General features: G+C 41.9%; 2 protein-coding genes across 32 annotated transcripts in view; one reads left to right on the top strand and one right to left on the bottom strand.

Moving 5' to 3' along the window:
- Positions 1-10225, top strand: part of NOC3L (NOC3 like DNA replication regulator) — a 48033-nt gene extending 37808 nt beyond the window's left edge. The window contains exon 22 of one of the 2 annotated variants that reach the window (XR_002957007.2): positions 9668-10225. The gene's annotated coding sequence lies outside the window, so the exon portion shown is untranslated. Of the gene's footprint in view, positions 1-2349; positions 3305-9667 lie in introns of those variants that run through there. The other variant, XR_007061982.1, reaches the window with a different exon arrangement.
- The window catches only part of PLCE1 (phospholipase C epsilon 1), a 338893-nt gene that overhangs the window by 7692 nt on the left and 318923 nt on the right, over positions 1-12278 (bottom strand). For all 30 annotated transcript variants that reach the window (XM_047425285.1, XM_047425289.1, XM_047425297.1 and 27 more), the window contains 5 exons: positions 11750-11878; positions 8376-8585; positions 3073-3231; positions 565-783; positions 28-240 (listed from right to left, as the gene is read on the bottom strand). In XM_047425285.1, coding sequence (XP_047281241.1) covers positions 52-240; positions 565-783; positions 3073-3231; positions 8376-8585; positions 11750-11878 — 906 coding nt within the window. In that variant the 3' untranslated portion in view covers positions 28-51. The remainder of the gene's footprint in view (positions 1-27; positions 241-564; positions 784-3072; positions 3232-8375; positions 8586-11749; positions 11879-12278) is intronic.

The following is a 12278-nucleotide window of genomic DNA, read 5'->3' as shown; positions in this document are numbered from 1 at the left end:
CCAGGATGGTGCAATGACTTACTATACCTGGGTTAAACATGCTGCCCTTAGTCACTGTCGGTAATCCATTGTGTCACTGGAGGACAAGCCACCCACAGGTTTCTCCTCCTTGGTTTGGATACTTTCTGAGGTCAAGAGCTGAGAAGGTGATGTAAGTCCTCGGGGCTGTTTAGTTGACTTGGTGAGCTTCTTGAGTTCACTTGCGAAAGAAATGCCTTTCTTTTTATCTTCTCGAGATGCCTGTGGGAACAAAGAACCTTCCATTGGTGTTAGGTTAAACTCAGGTTCCTCTGTCACATGACACTATTTCAGAAGAGCGCTTTCCTCTTCTCTCTAGAGCTTTGGAGAGAGTAGGGCTGAGGAGCTCCCCTCTAGGACTGCTTAACCGCAAGCTCGGCCACATGTTTTTTCACACAGTGAAAACAAAGCCAAACAATTTTCTCCTAACTCCATTCCTTGACTCAGGAACTTTCTCCTAAATTTCACCAGCTTCCAGATCTGGCTACAGTGTAATTATGGGTATCAGATAACTTAAGAACAGAGCAAAATAACTTTAAACTTTACCTGCACCTGCTCCTTTAGCTTAAGGATGAATTTTCCTGCACCTTTCCACTTGCTTTGGGCTTGAAACACACACTCCTGATCCAGAAGGACCCGCTGAGAGGACTTTGGTGTGGTAGTCTTCTTGTTGGTAGTGTCTTTCACCACCTCTTCCAAAAGCACATAGTCGCTTGGATTGGGGTTGCTCAGGATGCTGTAGGAATATTTGGCTTTGCATAAGGTCTGAAAGGTAAGTTATGATCAACTGAATAAAGACACAGAATCTCCAACATTTGCATTCATTCTATATGAAACTTTAAGGTGGAAAAATGGCCCAGACTAGAGATGAAGGGGATCTTCCAGATCATTTCATCCAACTCATTTTGCAGTTGTATAGTTGTAGCTTGTAATGTAATTTCCCACGTTACCTCATTTAGCTTTGCAACAGTCTATGAATTAGGTGTTATTATCCTGAATTTCAGACGAGGAAGCTTATACTTAAGACAGGTTAAGTAGATTCCAGGATATATACAGCTATAATAGTAACAATAAAGGTCTGAACCAGATTTTCTGCATGTACCAGCGCTCACAGACATGAAAGTCAGCCAGTGAGGAATAGAATCTTGCTCTTCAGGAGCGTCTCTGTCCCACTGGGCTATCTCTATCACAGAGTCTTGGATGTTGAAAGAATTTTAGAAGTCAACTGATCTCTCTTTTCATTTAATATAAGAATGTCTTTCATTGATGCATTTGTTAATTCATTAAATGTTTAGTGAGGGCCAATTATGTCCCAGATACTGTGCTGTACTTTTAGGGGAGACAAAGATAAGTTAAAGAAATGTAAGTCTGGGCCCTTTGGAATTCAAAGTCAGTTGAATAAGATGGCTAATATTAACTAAGTTATCATACAGTAAGAACAGCAAGTAACCCTTAAGTAATGTTTACCATTTGCTAGGCATTGTATTAAACATCTTACATATACTTAACCTTCAAGGAAAGTACTATCATACTATCTCCATATTGTCTATGTGGTGGTCTATGTGGTGACTTACCATGTAGTGTTTTGCTGGAGCCAACGGGAATAGTCTGGTGAAATCAGATATGGTAGGGGCATTTACACAAAAGAAATAAATAAGGGCTTTTATCTTTCTTTTACAAAGAGCTGGTTTACCAGCACACTACTATAACTAAGGCACAGATCTGAGCTTTTACTCCAGGTCTCAGAAGTAGAGCTGGGATTTGAATCTAACACAGCTTGATCTAGGGTCTGTGCTCTTAATTGTTGTGTTGTATGTCTTCTCAAATAGGTGTTTGATGAATGGCCTACCCTAACAAGGCTATGAAGGAAGCAAACTTCTCTGAAACCATGTAAACTCTCAGAGAAGCGTGATTTAGAGGAGGGGAGAGGATCAGAGTAGGCCTCCTACTTGTCCTCTGTAGGATCCTTGAGAGATGGTCAGTACCTACTGGCTTAGGTATTTCTGGGACCATGACATTGTCACTGCAGAGTCACTTCCTAAATCCATTATTATCAATGCTTTATAGAGATCCAAACTCACTGTAGATACTAAGTGTCTGTTGAAGGAATGAATTAATATTTCCAAGATTTTAAACTTTTAAAATTTGTTTTTGTTTGAGACAGGGTCTGGCTGTGTTGCCCAGGCTGGAGTAAAGTGGCACGATTTTGGCTCATTGCAAACCTCTGCCTCCCAGGCTCAAGCGATCCTCCTATCTCAGCCTCCTGAGTAGCAGGGACTACAGGTGCATGCTACCATGCCTGGCTAATTTTTGTACTTTTTTTTTTTTTAGACGAAGTTTCACTCTTGTTGCCCAGGCTGACGCGCAATGGCATGATCTCGGCTCACTGCAACCTCTGCCTCCCGGGTTCAAGCGATTCTCCTGCCTCAGCCTCCCAAGTAGCTGGGATTACAGGTGCCTGCCACCACGCCCAGCTAATTTTTGTATTTTTAGTAGAGATGGGGTTTCACCATGTTGGCCAGGCTGGTCTCGAACTCCTGACCTCAGGCAATCCACCCGCCTTGGCCCCACAAAGTGTTGGGATTACAGGCGTGAACCCCCGTGCCCAGCAATTTTTGTACTTTTTGTAAAGACAGGGTTTTGCCATGTCAGCCATGCTGGTCTCAAACTCATGAGCTCAAGTGATCTGCCCCCCTCAGCCTCCCAAACTGCTGGGATTACAGGTGTGAGCCACTGGGTTGGTTGTTTTTTTTTTCAATTAGAGACAGGGCCTCACTCTGTCATCCAGGCTGCAGTGCAGTGGCCAGTCATAGCTCACTGCAGCCTCCAACTCCTGTGCTCAAGTAATCCTCCTGCCTCAGCTTCCTAAAACTGGGATTACAGGCATGAGCCACCATGTGAGGCAATTTCCCAGCCTTAAGAGGCACACACTCCCCTTTGAGGTCCCTGTTGTTGAGGAACTTCACTCATAAAATGAGCCATCAGTGCACAGACATTTGTTCCAATAATTTATGCTGAGGAAAGGACTCAGGTGAGGAAGGGAGAGGCTTTTACCTGCTGAATGACATCCTGTGCAGTGCTGACGCGGGGTGCTTTGATGACTGTTCGAGGTTGCTCTGGAGAAACATCATGCACTTGGACAAAGAAACTCTCCTCCTCTGAGCTCAAGATCACCTCTTTGTCATCTTGAACAATGTTTTTCTCTTCTAGGTTCTATGTTTAAAAAGAAAAAATGTGAGTAAATAATAGGTTTATGCAGAATAAAGAAAGACAAATCTAGCAAAAATCTGAGCTTGTATCTTGGTGATGTAGAAACTTCTTAGCTTAATATCTCATATACTATGTTATTATTTCATAAACTGTTCTAAAAGGATATACCTATCTCCTGAGAGGAGGAAACTACTGTGCTTCTGATGATGTTGATAGATCCATAACAAGCCAATTTATCTGCTCCTATTAGCTGTGGGTTTTTTTTTTTTTTTTTCTGAGATGGAGTCTTGCTCTGTTGCCCAGGCTGGAGTGCAGTGGCATGATCTTGGCTCACTGCAGCCTCCACCTCCTGGGTTCAAGCAATTCTCCTGCCTCAGCCTCCTGACTAGCTGGGATTACAGATGTGTGCCACCATGCCTAATTTTTGTATTTTTAATAGAGACAGGGTTTCGCCATGCTGGCCAGGCTGGTCTTGAACTCCTGACCTTGTGATCCACCTGCATCGGCCTCCCAAAGTACCAGGGTTACAGGTGTGAGCCACTGTGCCCCGCCTAGCTGTGGATTTTGAGAGTCCAAGTTGACTGTAGGTAAATTTGTAGAAAGACAATATACCATTTTGCCAATTAGCAAAAGCCAAATAAGAACACAGTAAATTGTATTTAAAAGAAAGCTCACCCATTTCCACAGACGTTGAGCATTTAAGAAATGCTAGACATCTGAAATATAAACCATGAAATTGACAGGTTGGGTGAACAAAACTGCAGTGACAAGGCTGAATGAATGGCTGGAGGTAAGCCACATTGAAACAAATTTTGACAAAATTCACAGTAAAATTATGAGAATTAGATTAATTGGCTTTTTGGTGGATTATGTATCTACAGATATATGTATCTTATTAAAAATTTTCAAACAGTACAGAAGCGTATCAATAAGAAAAACCAAACTTTTCCCATTCTCATCTTTTTTCCTTCTCCCACCTTATTCGCCACAAAATACCCCACTGTCATTGGATAATACATCCTTTTAAACATTTGCTGTGGATGTTCAAATGTATTTTTGTGTATGTGACTATGTAAAGCAACACCCTTGAATTAGGTGAATTTAGATATAATGTGATTGTCAAGCAGCTGCTGCTGTTCTTTGTCCACCACATTTTCAAATGAGGATAGCTTCCCTTTTGCAAGAGGGAGACTTAGTAAAAGGGCAGGGAGAGGTAAAGTAAGTAAACAGTAGACAACCTCATCTCAGCAAGTGAGGTCTTGGCAGGAAAACTCCCTTATCCCCAGAATTCTAGCCTCATCTCTCCAGACCAGGCTACTGAAATGGGTGCTAACTAACTAACCAGAAGAATCCATGAGTTGCTGTCGCTATCTTGGAAGTTCCAACTAGAATTGTACCCATTGATTAAAGTCAGAATAGATAACTGCCACCAGGTGGCGCCAAAACTGCAACCAGGGCCAGAAAGGACTGGCTTCTGAAGCTTGCCCCAATCATTTAATTAACTTTGCAATCATGGCCTTATAATTACATGATTTTTTGTTAAATAAATAAAGATATATAATCTATTTTAACTTTTTTCAATGAGTGAAAAAATCCATTTGATTTTTTTCCCATGAATGAATACTCCATTATATAATGGAAGGGGGGGAAGAGATGAGCTATTGTCTCTTTTTACATAAAATGAGATTGTATCCTATGTATACTGTTTTACAACTTGCTTAATAATATGTCATTGCACTGATCATCATATATTTAACCAGTCAGAGAGTAAGATTGAGAGGTAATTCACATGACATAATTTATAATCTTTGTCCCCCAAACCAGGAGGCAAGAAATCAGAAAACCAGAGTTGGCACATAAAATGTCCCAACAACGATGCATTAAGCTTTATTTTTAAGAGAGCACCCTTAGGAGGCTGAGGCAGGAGAGTGGTGTGAACCCGGGAGGCGGAATTTGCAGTGAGCTGAGATCGCGCCACTGCACTCCAGCCTGGGCAATAGAGCCAGACTCCATCTCAAAAAAAAAAAAAAAAAAAAAAAGAGCACCTTTGAGCCTCCCTCAGAGCTTATTTTAAGGTATTTCTAGCCACATTAGTTCGAAGCCACAGGTTATGAACAAAATAACAATAGCCCTCACTTATATCCCTTTTTACTAAGCATTGTTGTACACCTTGTCTGTGTACATGTTTGACATGAGTCTCATGATCATTTCTTTGAGTCAAGTAGGGTAGTTTGTATATAGATTTTACAAATTAGGGCAGTGAGGTTTACAGAAGTTAGGTGGTCTGTTCATTGTGACAATCCTGGTTTACCCAATTTCAAATCCAGTAACAGAAGAGGACACATTGACCACAGGAAGATGTGGTATCTGACAGCTTGAAAGCCCAGGAGACAAGAAAATTATAAAAGGCAGGAGAGATCAGAGGTCACAGAGAGCAACTGAAGAATTTTCATATATGGGCAAACTGCTTATATGTCTTATTAGTTCCATGGGATAAAATAAATGGAAATACTTATAGCCCAAATCTGTCTCCTCTAGTAGTGCCCTCTTACATTCAGTAATTACTGAATTCATTTATTCAATCAGCAATTATTATTTGGGTATCACTATGCACCAGGTAAACCTAGATACACTAAATTTAGTTATCTTTTGAGATATATTTCAGTCATTTCAAAAATTTCCTAACAAAGGCATATAAAGGACAACTTGCCATATTTTACTTATCAGAAAAATCTTGTTAGCCTTCCCTTCTGATTTATGCCCCTTTTTCTTCAAAATGCCTTCCTTTACCAGCCTTTTGGAAGCATATTCCTGAGGTCCCTACTGCCTGTTGTCATATACTTTTTTTTGTTTTTAAAGATGAAGTCTTGCTCTGTCACCCAGGCTGGAACACAGTGGTGTAATCTTGGCTCACTGCAACCTCTGCCTCCTGGGTTCAAGTGATTCTCCTGCCTCAGCTTCCTGAGTAGCTGGGACTACAGGTGCCTGCTACCACGCCCTGCTAATTTTTGTATTTTTAGTAGAGATGGAGTTTTGCCATGTTGGCCAGGCTGGTCTCAAACTCCTGAGCCTGCCTTGGCTTCCCAAAGTGCTGGGATTACAGGTGTGAGCCACCGTGCCCAGCTTGTTGTGGTATACATTTAAATTGCATTTGGGTGTCCCTCACCTCCCCAGCTCCTCTGAGCATAAAATGAAGCTTCCTGTGACACTCAGCAGCCAGCCTGTCTTCCCTCTAGCCTACCCACTGCCTCCTGCTCCTCCCAAGGTGCTGAGTGTGGGTGATCCACAAGGATGGACACAATTTCAGCTTGGGTAGCACAGGATGGTGGAAAGAACACTGACCTGGAAGCCATAGACTTGAGTTCTTTCTACTTCTAACCCTGTCATGATTTCACCTCTCTGAATCTATTTCCTTAAGTGTAAAATGGTTTCCATTATATCATTCAACATAGTGTTTGAGGGCTTTCAACGCTGTAAATCATACACAAGTATGAGGTTTACAAATTTACTGATTTTCTGACATCGCTTAGAGGATACATACTTTTTACATGTAGCTAATTAATAAGGCAAGACAATTTAGGAACAGGACAAAAATTTAGACATTAAAGATGGCTTCAAAAGTACAGCTAAGCCCTCTGATATTTTATCATAAAGTGATTATTATTAGGGTTGCCTGGTCTCTGTCTTAGCAATTAGTGTGTCTTAATAGGGAGAGAAGGCTGGGGAGACAATTACATTTTTTTGCTTAAATTAAATGCCCTTTCATTGTCTCAGGCAAGGTCAGGGAAAGAAGGCAGTGGCTCTGGGCTCTAGAGTTGATGCTAGAGCTCTGTAGAGGCTTTAGGTCACATTCACTCACTGTGACTAGAAAGTGAAAACACACAATGGTTAAAATTGGCTATTATCTTCACTGTGCCCTAGCAAGCATGGGCCTGAGGCACCTTCTATCAGGCAAGCACTATTACATGCCCCAAAGGAGCAGATCATGTGCCCAGAACAGGGCTTGGTACATATTAGGTGCTCAATATTTATGTAATCAAATTGTTGAATAGACTCAACTGCTTGACTATCAACATGTCATGACGCATGACTGTCTATGCTAGAGAAATGACCTTATATGTCATTCTTAAGTTAGTAGGGTTTTCTCAGTTAATTCAGGGAAAAAAAAAAGTGCTTCATCAATTAAGTCAAACAGGAGCCAATCAGTTTGGAGTCAACATGGCAGTTGTTGCATCCTTTCCTTCCCAGGAATGATCATGGGAATCTTAGCACACGTAATATAAATTGTTACTAATTCTGACTCAGGCCAAGATATTATTCTTACTTTGTATGAAGTTCTGGAATATTTTCAAAGAAATATTATTATTTTACTTGTAAGCATGGAAGCTTCTATTAGCTAAAACTTCTATTAGCTAAAACTGGAAGTCAGTCATCCCCAGAATAGAAAATACCTGCAGGTTTTGCATTATACAGTAATGTGACCCTCACAACGATGTCTTTTCACACATACAAATAAAATACTGGACCCATAGCTGATGACATGCATAAGGAATCTTTGCTTCCTTTATCTTATAAGGTATGTTTTTATTTATTTTTAAAATGGAATAGTTTATTTGTGTGAGAAAACATATTTCCTTGTCTTTTTTTTTGAGACAGAGTCTTGTTCTGTTGCCCAGGCCAGAGCACAATGGCACGATCTCAGCTCTCTGCAACCTCTGCCTCCTGGGTTCAAGTAATTCTCCTGACTCAGCCTCCCTCATGAGTAGCTGGGATTACAGGTGCCTGCCACCACGCCTGGCTAATTTTTGTATTTTTAGTAGAGATGGGGTTTCGCCATGTTGGCCAGGCTGGTCTTGAACTCCTGACCTCAAGTGATCCACCCACCTCGGCCTCCCAAAATGCTGAGATTACAGGCGTGAGCCACCACGCCCGGTCTAAGGGATGTTTTTTAGATTGAATTTCTGTACCTTAGAGATAATATTCTGATTATGTGCAGAAGAATAAAACTGTTCATCCACATTTACTTAAGAAGAATATAAACCAAGTTGCAATTACAAGAAATTCTGAATTTCAGGGAGGTTGTGAGTGGTAAATGGCTAATCACATAATGAGTCGTTACTGTGTAGGCTGCACCCAGACACACTTACTTCCTGCTGGGTTTTTAAGACAATCCTGCCCATGTATCCCTCTTCTGGAAACCAGCTGCTTAAAATTTGCATGATCTCCTCTTCTGGACCAATGGCTCTCTGGAATGGTTGTTTCCTACATTCATTCTTTTCTTTAGATATAAAATATTTTTCTTCCATCAAAAAATAGTCTGTGGTAACAGGTTTGATGTCTTGTTCATTTGTCAGAATCTAAAGAAAAAGTGAAGGCAAACTGAGGAGTGAGGCAAAAACTTAAAACAAATCAACTTTCATGGTGTTCAGATAGGTTTGCTATGCAATTTATAAGTGAAATTTACTCTAGAGTATTGCATAATTCTTTTTGGAAGATCTAAGAATTCTCTTATGTTCAGAATGGATTGTTTATGTTCACTCCGGGCAACGGCACAACTTATTCATAATCCCCAGACAGCATAACTATTTTTTCCCACTGCTGGAATGAGAGCTCCTAGTGAATTAAAAATTTTAGGTTTCTCATTCCATGAACTTAGCCCTTTGTAATCTTGCAACACAGGACTGAGGGCAAATAACCTAGTTTAGTATTTACTAAGATAATCTCTTTTTCTCACATTGGAAATACTCGGTCATCTTCTCATGGAAGGTTTGTAGGGCTAGGTTCTCATGTGGTCTAAGTTCCTGGGAATTCTTCTTTAAATAAACTTCTGACAGTGTGCTTAAAGGGCTTGTTTTCTTTGTTGGCTGCTGACCCTGTGCAGTCAAACAGGGCAGCTGAGACAAAGCCCTGGAACCAGACAGACCTGAGTCTGAGGTCTGCCTTTAATACTTGTTGGCTACGAATTATTGGGTAAGATACTTAATCCCTTGGAGACTGTTTTCCGATCTACACAATGGAAATAGTAGCAATCTTAATTTTGTTTTATGGTTGAAGCATAAATCATAACATGGGTACATTAGGTGAACTCAATAAAGATGAGCCATTATAGTTACTTTTTTTTTTTTTTTTTTTTTGAGACAGAGTCTCCCTCTGTCGCCCAGGCTGGAGTGCAGTGGCGTGATCTCGGCTCACTGCAACCTCCGCCTTCCCAGGCTCAAGTGATTCTCATGCCTCAGCCTCCCGAGTAGCTGGGATTACAGGTGTGCACCACCATGCCTGGCTAATCTTTGTATTTTTAGTGGAGACAGGGTTTCACCATGTTGGCCAGGCTGGTCTCAAATTCCTGACCTCAAGTGATCTGCCCGCCTCGGCCTCCCAAAGTGCCGGGATTACAGGCATTATAGTTTTACCAATGTATTTTCTCACTCATATTGTACAGGTTACTACAAAAGGCTGAATTTGAAGGGAGTAAAGGTCAGTTGCAGTGAAGAAACTCCCTTTGTTGCCTTCCCGTGAGAAGTAGCTTGGTGATGAGAGAAAGCTGCCACCATCTGGTCTGGATTAAGCAAACACCCTTCTCCTCAGGCCCCTGCCAATAAGGCAAAGCCCAGAGCGAACACATCTCACCAGGAGGAAAAGCAGAATGTGATGGACTGAGGGCAGTGGGAGTGAAGGTTCTCAGGAAGACTGAAATCTCTCCACCCCAGCCCTTGGTCTATAAATGATGAAATGCTGTTGACTCAAAAGGGGGCCAAGGCAAATACTATAGGGATAATTCAGGATGTGAAGCTTCTGGGCCACCTCCACAAGAGGGCCAGCATCACCCCCTGCTCAGTCCTGCTTTATATCTGTGTGCTGATTTGCACGGGTGACAGTAAAGCAATGGACTGCTATGGGTGGCTCTTGGTAAGTTTTCCTTTACAAAACTTCAGCAGTGCTTTGTGATAGTGGACACTAAAGTACATGGACTGATGTATTAAAACAAAACCAAAACAAACTGTTGGTAATAGCTTCTGTTTGATAATCTATGAAATGTGACACCTGAGCTGTTTTCTCTATTTAAGTCAGTTATAAAATGTTGGACAGAATGTTAGCCTGTCTATAGAGATGTGCCCTTGAAAGACAGAGCCATTTATTGACACTTATTATTTGTGATTGTTCAGTTGGTTTTTAATTCCTCCAAATGTTATGATCCCAGCTACATTTCATCATACACCCTAACTTCAGAGGGAGCTAAAGGGCCATTCCCTTGGTCATTGCTTCCTTTAGTCTACTCCTATTCAGGAGAAGGAATTCTTTTTTATCTTTTTGAGACAGAGTCTCACTCTGTCACCCAGGCTGGAGTGCCATGGTGTTATCTTGGCTCACTGCAACCTCTGCCTCCTGGGTTCAAATGATTCTCCTGCCTCAGCTTACTGAGTAGCTGGGACTACAGATGTGCGCCACCACACCTAATATTTGTATTTTTAGTAGAGATGGGGTTTCACCATGTTGGCCAGGATTATCTCCATCTCTTGACCTCGTGATCCGCCTGCCTCGGCCTCCCAAAGAGCTGGGATTACAGGTGTGAGCCACTGCGCCTGGCTGCATGGAGAAGGAATTCTGAAATGGGTTAAGGATAAAATCATCTGCAAGGATTTTAGGCCACTGTGCCAAGCAAGGATAGCGCTTCTGGTGTGGTGAAAAAAGGAATTACGCATGGGCCCTGCCTCGCCCTTTGGAGGACATGCCCCCTCCCTCTTTGGATGCTGCTCCATGTCCCTGGCTCTCTCACTCTTAGAAGTCCCCCCATGGATGGGGACCTGTCTGCAGAAGGCCACAAAGATCCTTCGGAGGGGGATCTAGGGCGGAGGTGGCACAGCATAAGGAGACTTAGGCCAGTTCTGCTACAGGGCTTGGGGTAACAGGTCTCAGGGTCTCCATGCCTCTTGCTACCACCAAAAGGAGAGGACCTCAAATGCCAAGGTCAGGTGCCAGGGGAGGGGAGCAAGGGGGCTGCTCAACATGCAAAGGAAGGCCTTAGGCTGGAGGGGCAGAAAATGTCTCCTTGGTCCACGTGGCCCATCCTGAAGCTCTAAGAATTTGATTCAGCTCCTCAGATGGCAAGAAGATTCCATTCACCTAATGTGCAAATTCTGATTGATTAATAATCTCTGCGTGAAGAAGGAAGATTAGGCCATGTCTAGGCTTAGGGCGAAAGTGTATATATGGTTGGAAGGCCACTCATTCCGGTCTTTATCATTCTAGAGCCTGGTATTTTATATAGCTTAAGAATCATTAAAAATCTTCTCTACAGGTTGAAGGTAGTTTGTCTAGTGGTACCAAGATCCATCAGGTGATTCTTGGAGTGGATCTCAATGTTGAATAACACATTTCCAAATAATCAAAAGGCATATCATCCACATGGACTTTTGCGCATTCATGTGCATCTGTGTATGTTTACACACAGGCATTTATACACACACATACATCCATACATCTTAGATTTTGGATTCTCCCAACCACGGCTCAGTGGACTTACTTGCTGCAGAAGCTGCTTTGCCTTGGTGCCTCCATTAATAGTGAAAACGGTAAAGGGCTCTGGCCCTGGGACCCCATGCACCGTGACTCTGTGAGTCTGCAAACATTTTCTTTCTTCTGTATTAAACATCTGTCAAGAAGATCACATGGCTGATCATTCATCCGTAATCACATATTTCTAAGCTCTATTTGATACAGAGGTGCTAGTACTTAGAAGTACGGATAGGAACATGTAAATGCAAAAGATGAGAGTCCATTTGTAGCCTAGTGCTACAAATGGTACCTCTTCCTCAGTCATTTAGTGAGGGTATTTCATAAGCACATCACCAAAATATTATTTTAAATTACAGTGTCTCTTTCCATCATAATTAGAGGCTGATATTATCTGAAATGTATGTTAGTTCTTACTCATTAACTGATGTTCCATAGTATCTATTGAGTTCCATCTCTCTTCAGGGTACTGGGCTAGAAATTTGGATGGTAATAATAAAATGTTCTGCCTTTAGAGAGTACATCATTCAGGCACATGA

Source organism: Homo sapiens, chromosome 10 (assembly GCF_000001405.40).
Source record: "Homo sapiens chromosome 10, GRCh38.p14 Primary Assembly".
Taxonomy (NCBI): Eukaryota; Metazoa; Chordata; class Mammalia; order Primates; family Hominidae; genus Homo; species Homo sapiens.
Note: the sequence above shows the minus strand (reverse complement) of the source record. Positions and strands in the feature narration are given on the sequence as shown.